The sequence below is a fragment of the Homo sapiens genome, chromosome 1, assembly GCF_000001405.40.
Source record: "Homo sapiens chromosome 1, GRCh38.p14 Primary Assembly".
Classification (NCBI taxonomy): Eukaryota; Metazoa; Chordata; class Mammalia; order Primates; family Hominidae; genus Homo; species Homo sapiens.
Genome location: NC_000001.11, coordinates 44532860 through 44551157, shown reverse-complemented (window position 1 = coordinate 44551157; position 18298 = coordinate 44532860). Strand labels below are relative to the sequence as shown.

General features: G+C 48.7%; 1 protein-coding gene and 1 non-coding gene across 16 annotated transcripts in view, besides 2 other annotated features; both read right to left on the bottom strand.

The window, feature by feature from the left end:
• RNF220 (ring finger protein 220) overlaps nt 1–18298 on the bottom strand; it is a 246942-nt gene that overhangs the window by 100567 nt on the left and 128077 nt on the right. The window lies entirely within an intron of this gene.
• Nucleotides 4922–5448: an enhancer, noted in NCBI's record as "H3K27ac-H3K4me1 hESC enhancer chr1:45011382-45011908 (GRCh37/hg19 assembly coordinates)". NCBI's record gives its function as "activates a minimal SCP1, AML or CMV promoter by ChIP-STARR-seq in naive H9 embryonic stem cells {active_cell/tissue: H9 hESC(naive)}" and the evidence as "EXISTENCE:reporter gene assay evidence [ECO:0000049][PMID:30033119]".
• On the bottom strand, nt 5606–5665 carry MIR5584 (microRNA 5584). Its single transcript, NR_049849.1, has one exon. It is a non-coding gene; the product is annotated as a microRNA 5584 (primary transcript).
• Nucleotides 8562–9369: an enhancer, noted in NCBI's record as "H3K27ac-H3K4me1 hESC enhancer chr1:45007461-45008268 (GRCh37/hg19 assembly coordinates)". NCBI's record gives its function as "activates a minimal SCP1, AML or CMV promoter by ChIP-STARR-seq in naive and primed H9 embryonic stem cells {active_cell/tissue: H9 hESC(naive and primed)}" and the evidence as "EXISTENCE:reporter gene assay evidence [ECO:0000049][PMID:30033119]".

Sequence of the window (18298 nt, the reverse complement as noted above, 5' to 3'; positions counted from 1 at the left end):
GGGCGACAGAGCGCCTCAAAAAAAAAAAAAAAAAAAAAGGCAAGAAGTGAAGATGACAGTAAACTTGGGTGACACTTCCAGACCTACAAAGGATAGGAGAGGGGCCAATTTTGGCAGGGTTTAGGGGGAAGACAATGACTTTAGTTTCTGCTCTGCTGCGATGGAGGTGCTAGGAGATATCCAAATCCCCTGAATGCCTGAGTGATGGATCTGGGCTCTGGAAAGCATGGTTCAAGTGTGTCATGTGACACTAGGAGACCAGACACATGGGGGTGGTGAGTGAAATGAACAGGGGGTCCAACCTGGCCATGGAGAAGCATTGCAGGGACTAGAACAGGCCCAAGAACGCCCTGAGCATCTCCACTGAGTTGCTGCTGAAGCTACACATACACTCAGAACTAAACGGGCTGGAAACCTTCATTCAAAGCCTAGCTATGTTATACTTTGGTACAGCTCCTGTAGCTCAACCTCAGGCTGGGATAAGGTAAGGTATGAATGTGGGGCAAGTCCTGAGCTGCCATGATTTTGTATTGTAGAGAGGTTCCTACTCGTAAGGATGGAAAGCAACCTTTCTGCATCTCTTCAAGGTATCTTGCTCTCCTGATTCCCCATTTCTTATTCCTCCTATCAGCCCATCACTGTTGAGAGGGCCGCAGATTCTCCCATGCACCTAGGGGAGATTTGCTCTGTTGTCCCTGATTTCAGGGAACTGAATGCTGTCCAGAACTCTGCAAAACCAAGACCAGCTGCATGGTACTCAACAGCCTTCCCAGCTAATGTGCAGCCCGAGAGACACAGCAGGCTCCTCCAAGGGGATGTCTCCATAACCCCAAGCATCTCCACCCAACACCTGCCTCTCTTGGTTGCAGTAGAGAGGTCAAGTCTGGGTCATCTGGGCTTCTTCTCGAGCCTTCTTGGCCCACTTCTCCAAAAGCCCCTGGCCCTCTTGGCTTTGCCAAGGGGACTGTGGAGGGACACCAGTCAGGAATCAGGAGGGCTCAGGCCTACGCTCATGCTATCTTTTTGGCCTATTTGCTCTCTTTCTATCCCTTTGGGCAATTGAGCCATAGGGCCTGAAACATTCCCAGGCTTCTACCCTGCAGGGGACAAACTCCCAACTCCGCTTGGCTCTAGGTCCTCGCAGAGCTGCAGGCTGAGGACAGGGCTTCTCTGGTGGCTTGGAGTCCTTGCTGCTTCACTTTTTGGAGACAGGACAGATGGAGCCCAGGCGTAGGATAAATAAACCAATGAAATCTGAGAAAACAATGTCCTGCTACTTCTCTTCAGAGCTACTGCCCACCCCCTACTCAGGGCGAAGGTGGGTCTGTCTGCCAGCTAAGATGCTGGTGTGGGATTCTCCCCATCCCTGGCTGGAGACCCCTCATTCAGGCGGCCCCTGCAGCTTGGCGTGTTTACCTAACGTGGTGAACACATGCTCTCTCTGGAGGATCATTGTTTTCCCTCTGAGGCCCTTCAGTCACACTGGAGTCCCCCAGTTAAGAAGCAGCAGGAGGAAGGGGAGGAAGGGGTCACTAGAATGGGGAAGCAGAACTGGGAGGGAAGAGACATCAGGCTGATCACGCTGGGCAAGGAGGGAAGAGAGAGAGGGAGTTCCAAGGCTTCAGGACCTGCTGGCTGGTGAACACCTCTTACTGTTGGAAACACCAGGATTCTAGGAATGATGGGTTGCGAGCAAGAGACTATCACTCTTGGAATTCACCCTTTTTGAGAACCACAGAAAAGGTGGAGAGAGAAAAATTCCCCTTGGTGATAAAAGTTCCTCATGTGCGCTCTGCCTCCTTCGCTTAAACTTGACCTTCACTTAGCAATTGTTCAGAGAGCCTCCTATATGCAAGGCATTGTGCTAGGGACTGGGGCTAATGAAATGAATAGTTGGGAAAGATGGCCTTGTATATCAACATTGCAATGCTACATCATAGCTGTTTTTGTTTGTTTGTTTGTTTTTCCCGAGACAGAGTCTCTCACTCTGTTGCCCAGGCTGGAGTGCACTGGTGTGATCTTGGCTCACTGCAGCCTCCATCTCCTGGGTTCAAGTGATTCTCGTGTCTCAGCCTCCTGAGTACCTGGGGTTATAGGCATGTGTCACCATACCTGGTTAATTTTTGTATTTTTAGTAGAGACAGAGTTTAACCACATTGCCCAGGCTGGTCTGGAACTGATCTGCCCGCCTTGGCCTCCCAAAGTGCTGGGATTACAAGCATAAGCCACCACGCCCGGCCAATCATAGCTGTTTTGAGAGTGTCAAGAACTAAGTACAGTAGTTGCTTACTAGAAAGAAAGGGTTTCCACTTATGTTTGGAGGGGTTAGGGAAGACAGCATCTCTGAGCTGGGTTTTAAAGAATGAGGCTGGGCGCAGTGGCTCACGCCTGTAATCCTAGCACTTTGGGAGGCTGAAGTAGGAGGATTGCCTGAGGCCAGGAGTTCGAGACCAGCCTGGGCAACACAGCAAGACCCTGTCTCTACAAAAATAATTTTTAAAAATTAAGCCAGATGTGGTACCTGTAGTCCTAGCTACAAGGGAGGCTGAGGTAAGAGGATTGCTTGAGTCCTGGAGGTCGAGGCTGTGGTGAGGTGCAATCATACCACTGCATTCCAGCCTCAGTGACAGAGTGAGACCTTGTCTAAAAAGAAAAAAAAAGAAAAGAAGAATTGGGAGAGTACCAGAGGCTGAATGAAGGAGTCTAGGTGGGGAGCCTGGAAGGAAGAAACATTCCAGGTAAAGGAAATCTTGTGTGCAAATGCTAGGAGGCATTAGAGAGCTCTGATGTAATCCTGGAAGCAATGAGGAGCTGTTGGAGTGTTTTAGACAGGTGTTAGAGTCACGTTTTAGGAAGATCATGTGAGCAGCAGTGGGGAGGATGGACGGCAGGGAGAAAGACTGGATGGTGAACATTGGTCAGAAGGATTTTTTAGACAGTATAAGTGAGCTACAGGGAGGACCTGAACTAAGTCAGTAGCAGGGGCTAGAGATAAGGGGACATATATAAGGGACGATAAGGAATCCACAGGATTTCGTGACTAACGAGACATGGGGGATGTGAGGCCAAGAGAGAAGACGGTGAGGATGCCTAGGATTCTGGCTTAAGGGCCTGGGACAATAGCGGTACTGTTCGTGGTAGAGAGAAAATGAAGGAAAGAGAACAAGTTGCGAGTTGATGTGTGCGGGTGCTGGGGGTAATAAGACTGTGTTAAGAGTCTGGGTTGAGATACTCAGTATGCAGTAGGTAGATGGGCCTAGAGCAGCTATACCAAAGACCACTTCAAGATCTCATGACTGGATAACTGAGAGGATGACAATGTCATCAACAGAAATAATGACCGCTGAAGGTGAATTATCATGGGAGTTGGGGCTACATGGCGGATTGAATTTTGAGATGTCTATTGGACAAAGCGCTGAAGATATTCACCAGGCAGTTGGAAAAATGGGACCAGAGCAGCACGAGGTCAGATTTGGAGCTTTATATTCAGGAGTCCTCTAAATAAAGATAATAGCTGCAGCTGCAGGAATGGATGAGCTCATCAGATTAAAGTGTGCACCGAGAGAAGAGGGTCAAAGGTAGAACACTGGGAAACACCTACTTTTATTTAGGGTGGCAGGAGGGCAAAGAGCCAGAGAAGGAGCTGTCTGCAAGGAGAACCAGGAGGTGGTATGAGAGATGCCGAGAGAGAAAAGTGTTTCAGGAGGGTGACCGCAGGGTTAGGCGAAGAGATGTTAAGAAGGGTGAACACCAACATGGACTTGGAGATGTGGATGAACAATCTTTAGGAGAACAGATTCACCAAAGAGGTAAGGACTGTGGCAGAAATGAGCCAGTGGAGAGAATGGAAGTGGTTAAATATAAAAAAGCCTTTGAGCAGTGAGGCAGTGAAGGGGACAGAAGCTCAAGGAGTGAGGAGGGTTTAAAGAATGTGTTTTTTAAAATGGGGAAGGCTTGGTCCAGTTGCATTTTTGTGACACACACAAGGAGACATCTTCACTTCAGCTCTGTCTCACAGGGCTGTTGGCAATGCCTTTTCCCATCCTGGGGGCTCTCGTGTCCACAGATTCCCAGGGCCTAATGTGCCAGGCACCCTGGAGGAAGCATCCCTCTCAATGTGTGACAACATGAACACCTTGGTTTTCTTCTCCCTTCTTTCTGCCCTGCTTCCTTCTCTTCCTTTGCTTATTTACTTGCTGAACCCCTCCTTAGTGTCATCTGCCTTGAGGGGTATGACTCTGGGACTGGGGCAGGTGAGAGAGGACCGCCAGGAGGCGCCTGGAGAGGCTGCTGTAGCAATGCAGTTGTCCATAGCAGGTGGGCTGGAGAGGAGAGTGGATGTGGGAGAGGGATTTGAGACTAACCAGACATGGGTGGAGGGAAATGCAGGGGCAGAGCTGGCTCAGAAGTCCCAGCTTTGGGGTGCCAGCGAGGGGTCAGGAGTGATGCCCGAGGTCTTACTTTTCAGAGCCAGAGCTCGGTGCATCAATGACTCTGAAGCAAGCACTCCATCTCGGGGTAACATGATCCTGTAACGCAGGGCTCCTCTGATGTGGTCTGCTTGCCTTTTACAGCATTAGGGGAGCAACATTTCATGGAAAATTCAATAAATCCCCCTGTACAGCCAGACGTCTGTAAACAATGGCTTCCAAATTCAATCAGGCTGGGGACCCGCAGCAGCATTTATGAGCTCTAACGTGGAATATTATATAGGGGAGTGAGTAGCAGGGGGCTGGGGGAAGGGACTTCCTGGAAGAAGAAAGCTCCTGTGTGGCTCCTGCTCTCAGATGTTGCGGTGGAGGTGATTCTCCAGGTAGAAGTCCTAGCCATGCGACCTCTTAGGCTGGGCCTGGGGGGCCACTGAGCCATGGCTCTGGGCCTGGGGAGGAGGACAGGGATCTGGCCTTCTGGTACTGGCCATGAAGAGGCTGGGTGGCCGGAAGAACCAGGACCGAGAGTGAGCTCGCCAGCTTCTCCTCCCACGTCCTGCAGCCCATGCTTACCTGGCAAGCAGTGTGAGTCATCTCGGGTGCTTATTGTCTTTGTCACACCTTCCACCTCCTTTTACAAACCTTCTACCCACTTTGGTTCTATGGTCTGGTGATGATCTTCAGAGAACTAGCCCCTTTCTCTCTCAGGTTCAGAATGCCCCTCACTCAGTTCAGAAAGGTTTGCAATGAGGTAGGAGAACATGCAAGAAAGGGTTTCTCCTCGTCTCTACTATAAATAGAAAATTAGCCGGGCGTGGTGGCGCATGCCTGTAATCCCAGCTACTCGGGAGACTGTGGCAGGAGAATTGCTTGAACCCAGGAGGTGGAGGTTGCAGTGAGCCGAGTTTGCGCCATTGCACTCCAGCCTGGGCAACAAGAGTGAGACTCCATCTCAAAAAAAAAAAAAAAATTGGGTTTCTGATGAAGAGGTTGCAGTATGCTGTTTTAGGGAGGCTCAGAGGTCTCACCCATCTTTAGGCCCCCTAGATATCTCCTCTCCTTGGCCCTGTGAACCCCTCTACACTCTGGTCAGGTCTCCTAGCCTCTGCACCCCCACCCCCACTGTTGCCCTTGCACCCTCTGCCAGGCTTTCTCCAGCAAACCACAAGGAGCATAATTGGGCAAAGGGAAGAACTAAAGGTCTGGATTCAAATCTAGTTCTTCCCATTTCCCTGTTATGGATCTTGGATTAGTCACTTCCTCCTCTGAATCTCAAGGTGGGAATAACGTGAACTGCCTTGCTGAGTGCCTGAGGATAAAATTAGATAATGGATGTAAAGTGCCTGAAAGTTAATGGCATGGAATCAGCATGAAATACACAGTAGCTTTCTTCTCCACAATTCTTCTCCTTTCAAACCTCCCTTCAATAAAGCTTCTTTTAATCCTCAGAAACTGCCCTCCCTCCAACCGAAGGTACCAGATGTCCCGTCAGCTCTTCTCTCTGTCCTGCACATCTCCGAGTTCCCTTTGTGACTGGCTCTTCTGTGAGGCCTGATTTGAATCCAACAGGAAGAGCATAGAAGATCACAATGGACCATGGCCACATGGAAGGGGTGGAGGCAACGCCGAGGTGTCCCGCTTGCCTTCCTAGAGAACTACGGCGTAAGCTCCTCAAGGGCAAGGATTTTAGCCCGCTTTGTTTGTGGCTCTATTCCCAGGGTCTAGAGCCATGCTTGACACTTGGTACATGCTCAATAAGTATTTCCTGGTTGCATTAACTCATTCAGCATCTTCTCACCATTTTCCTGTGGTTTTTCTCTGTACCCAGTGGGAGAATGGAGAGATTGCATTCCAGGACATACAACAACCCCTCCTGGAAATCAGAAATCCTCTCTTCCTTCAAAATGTCCTTGGAACACTGGTCAGGCATCCGCCGTGGAGTGGGCATGGAGCAGAATCACAGCCACAAGGCTTCTCCTTGCAGCCCACTGCTAGAAACAAACATGTCTTGGAAGGCAAAGTTCCACAAGGCTTTAGGCTAATCCATGCCCAGCCTTTGGAGATTGAAAGGATAACTTCCAGAAAGGTGAGCTAGAGATGCACTTCCCTCCTTCTCCGGAGGACAGTTCTATAGAGCCCTCAGTCAATCTTAAAACACAGGGCAACAGGGAGGAAAAGGTTGGCTAGCCCCAGAGCAATGCTGAGTGGCATTTATAAAGGATTTATCGTGTGCCAGACTCTGCACTCAGCACTTACATGCATGAACTCATTAAAACCTCGTGCTGGCTAGTACTGGTATTAGTCCCATTTTACCTATAAGGAAACTGAGGCTCAGAGAGGTTAAATAGCATGCCAAGATCACAGGGCCAAGAACAAGAGGAACAGGGTGATCCCAGGTCTGTCTGACTCCAGAGCACAAGTGACTACCCACTATAATCTACAGCCTCAGAAGACAGGGATGGAGAGCAGTCCTTGGCTCAGATGGTTCTGGGGCCCCGGCAGAGATCAAGCATTTTCCTGTCTGCTCCTGCTCTGTTCTTCTCCCACCCCCGCTCCAGTTCACAGTGGGCAACTGAGATCATTGTTTGGGAGTGGTTGTCTCCTGTGGTCCTCCCGACCTCTTGCTGGGTATTCCCTGGGGATGAGGAGGAAGATGGGACAGGGTCAGGGGAGAGCTGCTGCTCTCTGTCCCCAGCTCCACAGGCCAGTGGGATGCTCTGCTGTCCAGCTGGGACCAGTTCCGGGCAACTGGGCATAATGCAAGAGTTCTCACCCCGGGCCCAGGCTGGAGATAGGCTGCTTGCTCCACCACTCGCCACTGCCCAGTAATCCCACTCATCTGGAGGAAGGAGATTCTTTGGGATCAGAGCTGGCGTTGACCTTTTGGTTTTTCCATTTGGCAGGACGGGGGAGGGGTTCAAGAAGGCAGATCCCAGAGATATCTCCCCCCACAGCCAGATACCCAGCTTTTGGGGTTCTGGGATTGACTCCTGAAGTCGTTACATGTGAAATGCTTGCATGTATTTTTTTTTAATGCCCAAAACATGATGCAATGTTTCCTGTACACCCCGGTCACGTACTCTTGTACATGCACACACGGCTTCCACGTTGACTTCTGTGACTAGCCCCTTCCGTGCTCCGGCTTGCTTTTGCTCTCTCTACTTCCCCCTCCCTCTCTCTCTCTCATTCTCCCTGCTAGCTGCTGTAAGGATCAGTCCCCAAAGAAAAATGCCCAATTTGTCATGTCATGTCCAGCTGTTAACCTCCCGTCGGTAAGCCATGGGGAAGACTTACTTTCTCCTATTTATTTATTTGCCACTTGGACAATAGAAGGCCCCAGGCCTGCTGAGTTCTCCATAATAAAGCCACCAACGATCTCCCCCATCACCCCCTCCCCTCCCCCCAGCCCCATGTCAACAACACTAGCCAACCTGCAGGTGTCACTGGGCATTAACCCCAGGCTTAACTCTGGCTCTGCTCAACCGGAGGGAAGGGGGAGGGGGTAGCCGGCGAAGGTGGGGGGTCTGACGGGGAGGTCTCTGCACAAAGAGGAAGGCCTGGGGATGGGCTGGCTCAGAACCATCCCTCCGGAAAGCTCACTGTGCTGAGGCTGGGGGAGGGAGGGAGGGATCAACCAAATAATGCAGCTCCTTCTTCCCAGCTCTCCGATGGTCTCCAGGCAGAGCCTTGGCCAGCCGGTGGCAGGCGCCTGGGCTCACCGCACCTAGCAACACTGCCGAGAGACAGGGCCCTCCAGGAATGAGGCCCAGTGCGGCTGGCCCTGGAGCGGGCCTGGGAGGGGCTGGGGCAGGGAGGGGAGGCGCAGACCCTCCGGCCCCCAGCCCCACTCAAGGTAACCACTCCTTTCTCCAGCACTGCCTTCCTCCCCTCTCCAGCCTTCTTTGGTCAGCCCAATTTGCTACAGGAGAACTCGAGGGTTCAGGGGAAGCTGCTAGCAACGTCCCAAGGCTGGGCTCCCTGTCTCCCTGTGGATTAAATGAGAGGTGGTGGGGCAGGGGCCTGGGCAGCCCTTCCTTCTGTTCAGATGTCAGAGTGAGTTACGGATCACCCTGAAGTGCAGCCCCCATGGCCTTTCATCTGGGGCTCCCAGCCCCTTGTTGTCAAGAACACCATCCTCTCTTCCTGGAACCCTAGCTCCCCCCTGGGGACACGCTGTGGAGGGAAAACACAGATTAGGATTAGCTGGGATTGTGCGCCTGAGCCTGGTTCCCCAGCCATCTCTGTGGTAGTTTCTTACTTTCTGCTAAATTCCCTATATCCTCCTCCCTCCCCCATAGGACATCCTAAAGTACAGGGGCATGGGCAGGGCATTTTCCAAGGCTAGTCACTCAAGGCTCAGTGTGTAACCCTCTGCTGACTGTCCTCAGTGAGGCCACAGCCTTGGACTCACGGCACCCAGATACAGATAAAAGACTTGGTCAGCTCCTGCCCACTGAGGTTTCTTGTGCATCTTTGTTCACTGTCTGATTGACAGTAGGAAGTCACAGCTCAATGGAAAAGGAAAAATGATGGTCACTGTAAAGCTCCCTTGTGAGGGTCCACTGGGTCTGCACTGGTACCCCCTCTGTTCTTGGCCCAGTGCTGGCATCATGTGAAGCAGCTGGAGAAACCAGAGAGCCTAGAGGACCAGTGTACAGGAACAGAGGTCCAGGATCACACAGGCCAGGCAGAAAAGGACCCCAAAGGCTTAGTTAGGTCAAGCCCAGGCTCTGCCATAGCATGGATCCTGATTGTCACAGCGAGAGATGCAAAGGTCTTGCTCCACCCGGGGGCATTCTGAAGTTAAAATTTTTCTTAAGAGGAATCTCTCAAAATTTAATTTTATAAAATTACCTATATCCAGGAGACATATGGGAAGAAGGAATCTGACAGTTGCAATGTTTCAGAGCAAGGTGACTGAATGGGAAAGCACCTGACCAAACAGGAGAGGCTCAGATGACGGTTCAGTGTGCAAAGGACTTGTGGCTGTCTAGAACTGCTCTGCAGCGCCCTGGGCTGCCTTGAGAAGCAGCACCTTCCAACAGGAACATGGTGATGACCGTCCGGAACAGAAAAGGGAAAGCTCCTACAGTGGATAGAAGATGGGACCGTGAAGTAAGTCTCTGAGGAACCTTCCAGTTAGTGCTCAGAAGTTATGATTCTAGAGATAGCATGATCCAGTTTAGGAGACAATGTGGTACGGTGATAAATACTGACAATGTTGTGAGATGGACCTGGATTTGATTCCCAGTTCTGTCAGTTACTAGCTGTGTGACTTTGTTTTTTCTTTTTTTGTTGTTGAGACGGAGTCTCACTCTGTCACCCAGACTGGGGTGCAGTGGCACGATCTTGGCTTACTGCAACCTCTGCTTCCCGAGTTCAAGTGATTCTCCCATCTCAGCCTCCCGAGTAGCTGGGACTACAGGTGTGTGCCACCACACCTGGCTAATTTTCATATTTTTAGTAGAGATGAAGTTTTGCCATGTTGGCCAGGATGGTCTTGAACTCCTGGTCTCAAGTGATCCACCCACCTCGGTCTCCTGAAGTGCAGGGATTACAGGCATGAGCCACCACTCAAGGCCTACTAGCTGTCTGACTTTGGAAAAGTTACTTGACTTTTCTGAGGTTCAGTTTCGTCTTCCATGAAATAAGCATGAGGATACCTACCTCTCAGTTGTTGGGAAGATTAAGTGAAAGAATCTAAGGGAAAACACCTAGAATAATGCCTGGCAGATTGCAAACACCGTAACAAATGTTAATTACTGTCTCTTTTCCTTGTCTGAAACTTACTTGGTTCACTCCCTGCCCCAAAAAACGAGGAAATCAACTTGCTATATCTAGTGGCCTGCACACCAGGGAGACCTGACTCGTGCTCTCAGAAAGTTTGGTCTTTCTTGGTCCCTTCTTGTACACCTCCCTCGGTTCTGGACAGAGACACTGGCGTGGCTGGTTTGTGTGGGAGGCATCTACACATTTCTTGTCTGGCCTGAATAGCAGGCATTAAAATGCATTTTGGTTCACCCAGGACAATAAAGAAAAAAAAGGAAGCTTTAAGTCACTAATAAAAATCAAATGTAGGCAGTTTGCAGGAGTGATCAGCTCAGAGCTTTGCTGTTCTCTTGTTAAGGGTCTAGAGCCATAAATAACTTCCCCATAGAAGGCAGAGGCGAGGGGGAGTGAGTGAGAGGGAACGCAACAACACAAAATTTTTCATTTTTCTCCATAAATCATTTCAGCGTGCGATAATATTTGTTTTTTCTAATGAGTCTCTTGTGATCCATTCCAGGAGCTAACATCAGGGCCTGTCAGGGGGTGATGTGTGGTACAGTTCAACGCTTTACAAAAACTGCCTGCTACACAGATTTTTTTTTCTCTCTTCCTTATGCTAAGTATTCATGAAGCCCATTATTCTGTGCTCATGCTTTACAGATTCTTCCTTTCTGATCTTCTCCTTTGGGCAGCAGCCGTCCTGTTCTCTCCTCTGTCTGCCTGTGCTGTGGGGTCTTGCTGCAGCCTGGGGAAGAGATGTGGGCAGTGGTTGAGGAAGGCTGCTCAGAGGTATCCTGGGGAGACCATCAGGCATAGACTTTGAGCTTGGCTGCATAAGGGGAGCATTCTTCAAAGTTCAGCTGAAGCCAGTGTGGAAGAATGCCTTTAAATGATGGATTTCTCATGGCCCAGTGGTGGACCCTATCACAGTGGGCAAGAACACCTGCCAAACAAAAGGCCCTCAAAGAGAGCTGGCAGGCTAGACAGAGGTCAGGTTAGTAAGAGACAGTATTCATACCACGCCGAAGAGTTTGGAGTTTATCCTAATAGGCAAAAGAGGTCAATCAAGAATTTTACAAAGAATCAGATTTGCATTTTAGAAAGACCTTGCTGCATCATTAGTGTGGAGCATAGATTGGGGGAGAGGTACAGGTTAGAGGAAGCAAAGAGTAGGATGGGAATCAGAAAATTCTGGAACAGTGTTGGATTAATACAGATGAAAAATGATAAGGTATTGGATTCAGAAATGAGAGATTTTGGGGAGAGCTTAGTAAACACTACTCATCCTTTAAGACTGACTTTAGTGTTACCTTTTCTGTGAAATCATTTCCACACTCTCCAGGTTGGCTCACTAGTTCCTGTTGGCTCCTGTAATGTCCTTCCATACTCTCCTCTCTGCAGACACTCATTACATTGCATTATGATGATTAGCCTGAGCTCCTTGACGGTGGGCTCCAGGCTACGTGAATCCTTGTGTCTTGCTCTCTCATATGGTGCATGGCACGTAGAGTGGCTCAATGGTATTTATTCACATTTTGAATGAAAACAAAAGAATAAAAGGAGGGAAGACAGAACTATAAGTAGAAAGCTCGGGCATTTGGGGGCAAGTGAAAGAAGAGGAGTCACCCAAGGAGACTGAGATGGGATGCTCAGAGAGTCAGGAAAGACCTGGGAGAGTGACATCAGGGCTCACGGCGAACCATAGGAATAGAACTTTATTTATTTATTTATTTATTTAGAGATGGAGTCTCACTCTGTCACCCAGGCTAGAGTGCAGTGGTGCGATCTTGGCTCACTGCAACCTTCGCATCCCGGGTTCAAGTGATTCTCCTGCCTCAGCCTCCTGAATAGTTGGGATTACAGGTGCCCACAACCATGCCTGGCTAATTTTTGTATTTTTAGTAGAGACGGGGTTTCGCCATGTTGGTCAGGCTGGTCTCCAACTCCTGAGCTCAGGTGATCCGCCCACCTGGGCCTCTCAAAGTGCTGGGATTATAGGCATGATCCACCGCGCCCAGCCTTTTTTTTTTTTTTTTTTTTCCCTAGATGGAGTCTCACTCTGTCGCCCAGGCTGGAGTGTAGTGGCATGATCTCAGCTCACTGCAGCCTCCACCTCCCGGGTTTAAGTCATTCTCCTGCCTCAGCCTCCCGAGTAGCTGGGATGACAGGTGCCTGCCACCACGCCCAGCTAATTTTTGTAGTTTTGGTACAGATGGGGTTTCACCATGTTGGCCAGGCTGGTCTTGAACTCCTGACCTCAGGTGATCCACCTGTGTCGGCCTCCCAAAGAGCTGGGATTACAGGCATGAGCCACTGCGCTTGGCCAGAATAGAGCTTTTTAAGAGGGCAATGATTTTTGGTGCCAAATGCAAAAGTGAAATTAAGACAGACAAAGACAGAAACATGTCCACAGAATTTGGCAATTCCGAGGTTGTTACTGCTGTTTGAGAGAGCAGTTTACTTGCAGTAGCGAGGGCAGAAGCCATACCAGCCAGCTCACTTCTAGATGAGATGTGAGAAAGTGTAGACCAATCTTTCAAGAAATGCAACTAAGAAGAAAATGACAAAAACAAGAGTAGCTTAAGGGGAAATACAGGATCAAGGGGATCGTTTCAAGAAGGGGCAGGGATTAAAAAAACATTTATAGGGTAAATCAGACGGAAAAGACATGACAAGAGAGAAAATACTGGAGAAAGGTAAGTAGATACAGAGCTGGCTGAATAACCACACCCAAAGAATATTGATGAGAGTTTGAAAACAAGGTCTCCAGTGACATATGACCAGATTTGTCCTTTGTCCTGTACAGCATTTTTATCAACAACTTGAAGGCATGAACAGCATGACTAACACATTTATAGTCAGATAAGTCTAGGGACAGCCAACAAGATGAAGTACAGGATCAGTATTCAAAAATCACTTCTGCAAGTAGGCATACAGGTGAGATTTAACAGACGAAAGTAACTATTCTGCATGTAGGCTAAAAATAGAATTTCTGGAAGTATAGGTTTGAGAAGCTACGCCTTGAGAAGGTTCATGGGAAGAAGATCCAGGAATTCTGGTTGAGTTTACATTTGCCAAAAGACTTCTGAAGACTCCAGCCACATTGGCAGAGGCGCAGTGCACAGAACAAAGGCGGGCTGGTCACACCACAAACACAGTGGGAACATTCTGCACTTTTCTGGGCTTCGTACCATTCAGGTGATAGGTGACTAGGGCGAGGTGGGTCAGGATGGAAAGATGTCTTGGAACCCTGACTTGTGATCATTGGTTGGGGAAGTTGGGGAAAGAATTTGAGAAATGCGACAGGAATTCTTAAGTATTTGCCAGTTTATCATATAGTAAAGAGAATAGACTCCCTCTGAAGAGATTCAAAGGACAGAACTTTACTCCTAGGGTAACGAAAGGCAAATTTTGGCTCAATATGAGGCAAGAAGTCTATGGATCCCCCTCTATGCATGGGTTTAGGGTCCCTAAAATGGAATATAAAATGTTATGTAAACGTTAATATACATTTTTTTTTGTAGAAGGTGTTCATGGCTTTCAATACATTCTGAAAGGAGTCTGTGACACACACACACACATTAAGAACCACAGAAAAAGGGAGAATTTTCTTTCAATTATGGTAATTGGAATGGAACTATGGCTTCCAGAAGGAGCAGGATTCCCATCACTGGATATGTTCAAACAGGGGCAGAAAGACCTAGTGAACTCTATCAAGTTTAGAGGTCTGATACAAGAAGGGGTTGGTTGTAGACCACGCAAAGAAAGGTGTTTGTGTGTGTGTGTGTATGCAGGGGGTAGAAGAGGGGCAGAGAGAAAGAAGAAGGCAAGACAGAGGTAGTGAGATAAACACTGTCATGGGCCGTTTCCATCATGTACTCACAAGAGCATAATAAAGCCCTTGTAATATACTAGAACTTGTGTGGTCCCGGGGCCTAATTTGCATACTAATTACTGAGTGCAAATGGGACCGAGGGGTAGGGAGGGAGGGTGGGGGAGGCATGCAGGGAGCGAGGGGCCTGGACTGTTTGCTCTGCCATTTCATATCATGCTAACAAGCTAATCCGGCGTGCAGTTAGCTCCTGATATATAACTGCTCATTAGTATTATAATAAAGTACATGAAACAACCATAAAACGTTATATACTGCACAAGTGTTGTTTTCTTGCCAATTATCTGCAGGCGGATTTATCACCACAGTTGTTTCGAATTCCCCTTGGTGAGGTTTGGGCGGAATAAAGAAAGGTGTTGGTGGCGGCAGCAGCAGAGGGGGGCCTTTTCGAGGGGCAGACCATGTGTTTTCTTAAGTAGCACTTACTGATGCGCCATTTCATGAGAGTGAAGCAAAGAGATCCGTCCTTCCCCAGCTCCGCAGCCCCAGAGGAAAGCGACAAGGGTGAGAGCTGAGAAAGGCTGCAGGCCCATGTTCCAGGGCCCTGGGGACACAGGGCCCACAGCCTGCTGGACAGCCCAGAACCTCCAAGTATAAAGGCCTGTATCAATCCCACGGACTGTTTAATGAGGTCTTGTAAATCTGCACCACTTGCTGCTCTCCAGGCTTCCAAGCTTGCTGTTCAGGTAGCCCAGTTCAAAGCAATGTTTCACCCCCACTGCCTTATTCCTAAAGCACTTACTGAATGAGCTCTAGTGAAGGCAGCCTTGTTCTGAGAAGATGTTCTGGAGATGCGTCGTTCTTGCAAAGAGTTCGTTTCTGCCTCTGGGCTCTCAAGGGACTCTCACAACACAGCCACCCACTCAGTGTTCTGGGAGGAGTATGGAGGGAAGCTCTGACTTTCCCAGACAGCCTGTAGGGCCCAAGTCACACCTCCTAAGGTCACCCTACTCCATCATCACCAGCGAATGCAGGAAGGCCCTGGAATTGGGAAGTAGAGAAGACCCCTTTCTCAGTTTTACTCTATTAGATTAGAAAAGAGCACCCTTGCTTAATAGCGAGTTGGGATGAGGTTTCAGGGCCCTGTTACACTTCATCCTTTCTCACCGCTCCCCAGGCTGAAGGAAAATTTGCAGAGTTCTCATATATTCTAGGAAGGCCTCTTGAACTGCCTGGACCCACAGCACGTAGCCAGCTCCCAGCAGCCTCACTGTTGGGAATGGGCCACAGGTTTGAAGAAGCCAATTCTTCAAAGGTCTGCTCGCTGACCAGAAGTCCCAGCCAGGCCCCATACAATCTCCCAGACCTCTACTAAGTAGACATCAGCTTCAGTAGTCACCCAGGAGCTGCGCAGAAGGATGGCGGGTCAGTCCCACTTTGCCTGTGCTGTGCTGGTGTATCGAAGGACTGATGTGGGTATTAGGAAATACACATTAACTTCAAAGACTAACATGAACAGCCACATTTCCTTTAGAGATCCATAGTGGATGTGCTAATTCACAAACTAAATTCAAATTGTGAACACATCTGGCCTGGGCTCTGGGCTCCTCTCAAAGAACCCTAATAGTAAACAAGGCAAGGAACATCAGTGGGAGTTCTCACAAATTTCTCAGAAGAAGCTGCCTCCTGGCCGGGCACGGTGGCTCATGCCTGTAATCGCAGCACTTTGGGAGGCCAAGGTGGGCGGATCACAAGGTCAGGAGTTCGAGACCAGCCTGGCCAATATGGTGAAACCCCGTTTCTACTAAAAATACAAAAATCAGCTGGGCATGGTGACATGTGCCTATAATCCCAGCCACTTGGGAGGGTGAGACAGGAGAATCGCTGAACCCAGGGAGGCAGAGGTTGCGGTGAGCTGAAATCGTGCCACTGCACTCCAGCCTGGGTGACCGAGTGAGACTCTGTCTCAAAAAAAAAAAAAAAAAAAAAAAGAAGAAGCTGCCTCCTGAAGCCCCTCCTCACACAGAAGGAAATGTAATGAAGTTGTTCCCCCAGTTCCCAGCCCCTACCCCCGATGAAGCCAGAAAGCTTTACTCCTCCTACGGAGATTAGCAGTAACTTGCTCCCTGGTCACAACGAGTCTGGACAACTCAATAGCTCCCCCTTTCCCGCTCTAAATAGCATCTCCACTTGAAGAGCTTAAAAACATTTAGTAAATTTCTGTTCCAGGTATGTTCTTTGTTGTTTTAGTTCTCTCCAATCTTTAAATGTCTGTCCGTATCAGATAACAAATGACTAGAGACGTAATGATTTGACTATTTTCTAATGGGTGTGCTTTGATGTATCACAGACTTGAGGTTAACGAACTGGAGGATCACCTTTCTCTTCCATATACAATTCTAGGTTTCATAATTCGGCTATTATGATGGCAACCATGATGATGATGATGGCAGTGATGATAAAGGAATGACCACCTCATTCTGATACTTGATAATCCCCAAATCTAAGGAAAGAACAATGGGCTGAAAGGCCATTAACATCTCCAAACCAGATTAAATGCCAATGCTTTGTCAAAGTCCAGCAGTGAAGAAGTGATATTTGGTATTTAGATGCAATCGTAATTTGAATTGACTAAAGAATCAAGTTCAGGGAGAAGGGAGGGATAGCATTAGGAGATATACCTAATGCTAAATGACGAGTTAACGGGTGCAGCACACCAACATGGCACATGTATACATATGTAACAAACCTGCACACTGTGCGCATGTACCCTAAAACTTAAAGTATAATAATAATAAAATTAAAAATAATAATAATAATAGAAATGTAAAAAAAAAATCAAGCTCAGGCCAGGTGCAATGGCTCACACCTGTAATCCCAACACTTTGGGAGGCTGAGGCGGGAGGATTGCTTGAGCGCAGGAGTTCGAGACCAGCCTGGCCAACATAGCGAAACCCAACCTCCATGCACAAAAAGTAAACAAAATTAGCCAAGCATGGTGGCACATACCTGTAATCCCAGCTACTCAGTTGGCTAAGGCACAAGAATCACTTGGACCCGGGAGGCCAAGGTATAGTAAGTTGAGATTGTGCCACTGCACTCTAGCCTGGGCAACAGAGCAAGAGTCTGTCTCAATAAAAATAATCAAGTTCAGACTCTTCAGCTGATCTTCCATGAAGTGGCACCCACCTCCTTCTTCGGGCTCATCTCCTAGGCCCTACCTCTATGTCCTTGCAATGCTGACTTGGGTCAAATTCCCCCTAAAAATGGATGCTTTCTTTTACCTCTCTGCTTTTGCTCATTCTGATCCCTCTACTTAGAATGCTTATCCACTTTTTTCCAGTGCCAACTCCTCCTAACTTGGGTCAGGTGCTATCTCCTGCAGAAGCCTTTTCTGACAGTCCATCCCTTGTCTGATCTAGGTGACCCTTCATGTGCTGGAAGCACCCTGTACTTCTATCTCATGTCAATCAATAGCTTTTGAACCTCTTCAGGGCAGGTGTCTTATTCTTTGTGGTCCCTGCAACTCAGTATGAAGTACTGGCCGAAAGCAAGTACTTAATACATGTTTCTATCTATTCCATAGTTTGGGAGAACCAACCTGGACTAAAACTTTATTTCTTTTTCTTTTATTTTTTCTGAGACGGGGTCTCACTCTGTTGCCCAGGCTGGAGTTCAGTGGTGCCATCAGGGCTCACTGCAGCCCTCCTAGGCTCAAGCAATCCTCCTGCCTCAGCCTCCCAAGTAGCTAGGACTACAGGCATGCACCACTATGCTCAGCTCATTTTTCTGATATTTTTTAGAGATGAGGTCTCACTATGTTGCCCAGGCTGATCTCAAACTCCTGGGCTCAAGTGACCCTCCCACTTTGGTCTCCCAAAGTGCTGGGATTACAGGCGTGAGCCACCATGCCCAGCCTGGACTTAAAGCTTTAAACTCACACCAGTATGCTGACCTAGAGCCTTCAGCAGACTTTCGTTTACTCTCCCCTTTAGGACTCAAAGCTGGGCAGTTCTTTCCAAGACCAAAGAGAGGGGGCAAACCCTCATGTCTGTGACATTGGAAGTCCACCATTTTATTGCCATCTATTTCCTCCTTCCTTTTAGTCTGGTCTTTAAAGGTGCAAGCAGGGACTGACCAGGTCCAGGGACTCAGTGGCTCAATCCTACAGAGCAACGCAGCTGCACCGACTTCCCCTAGGGAGCTGGAGCTCCCCTCTTCCTCCCCTGCTGTGACAAGAAGGTCTTCAGGGGCAGGACCATTCAGC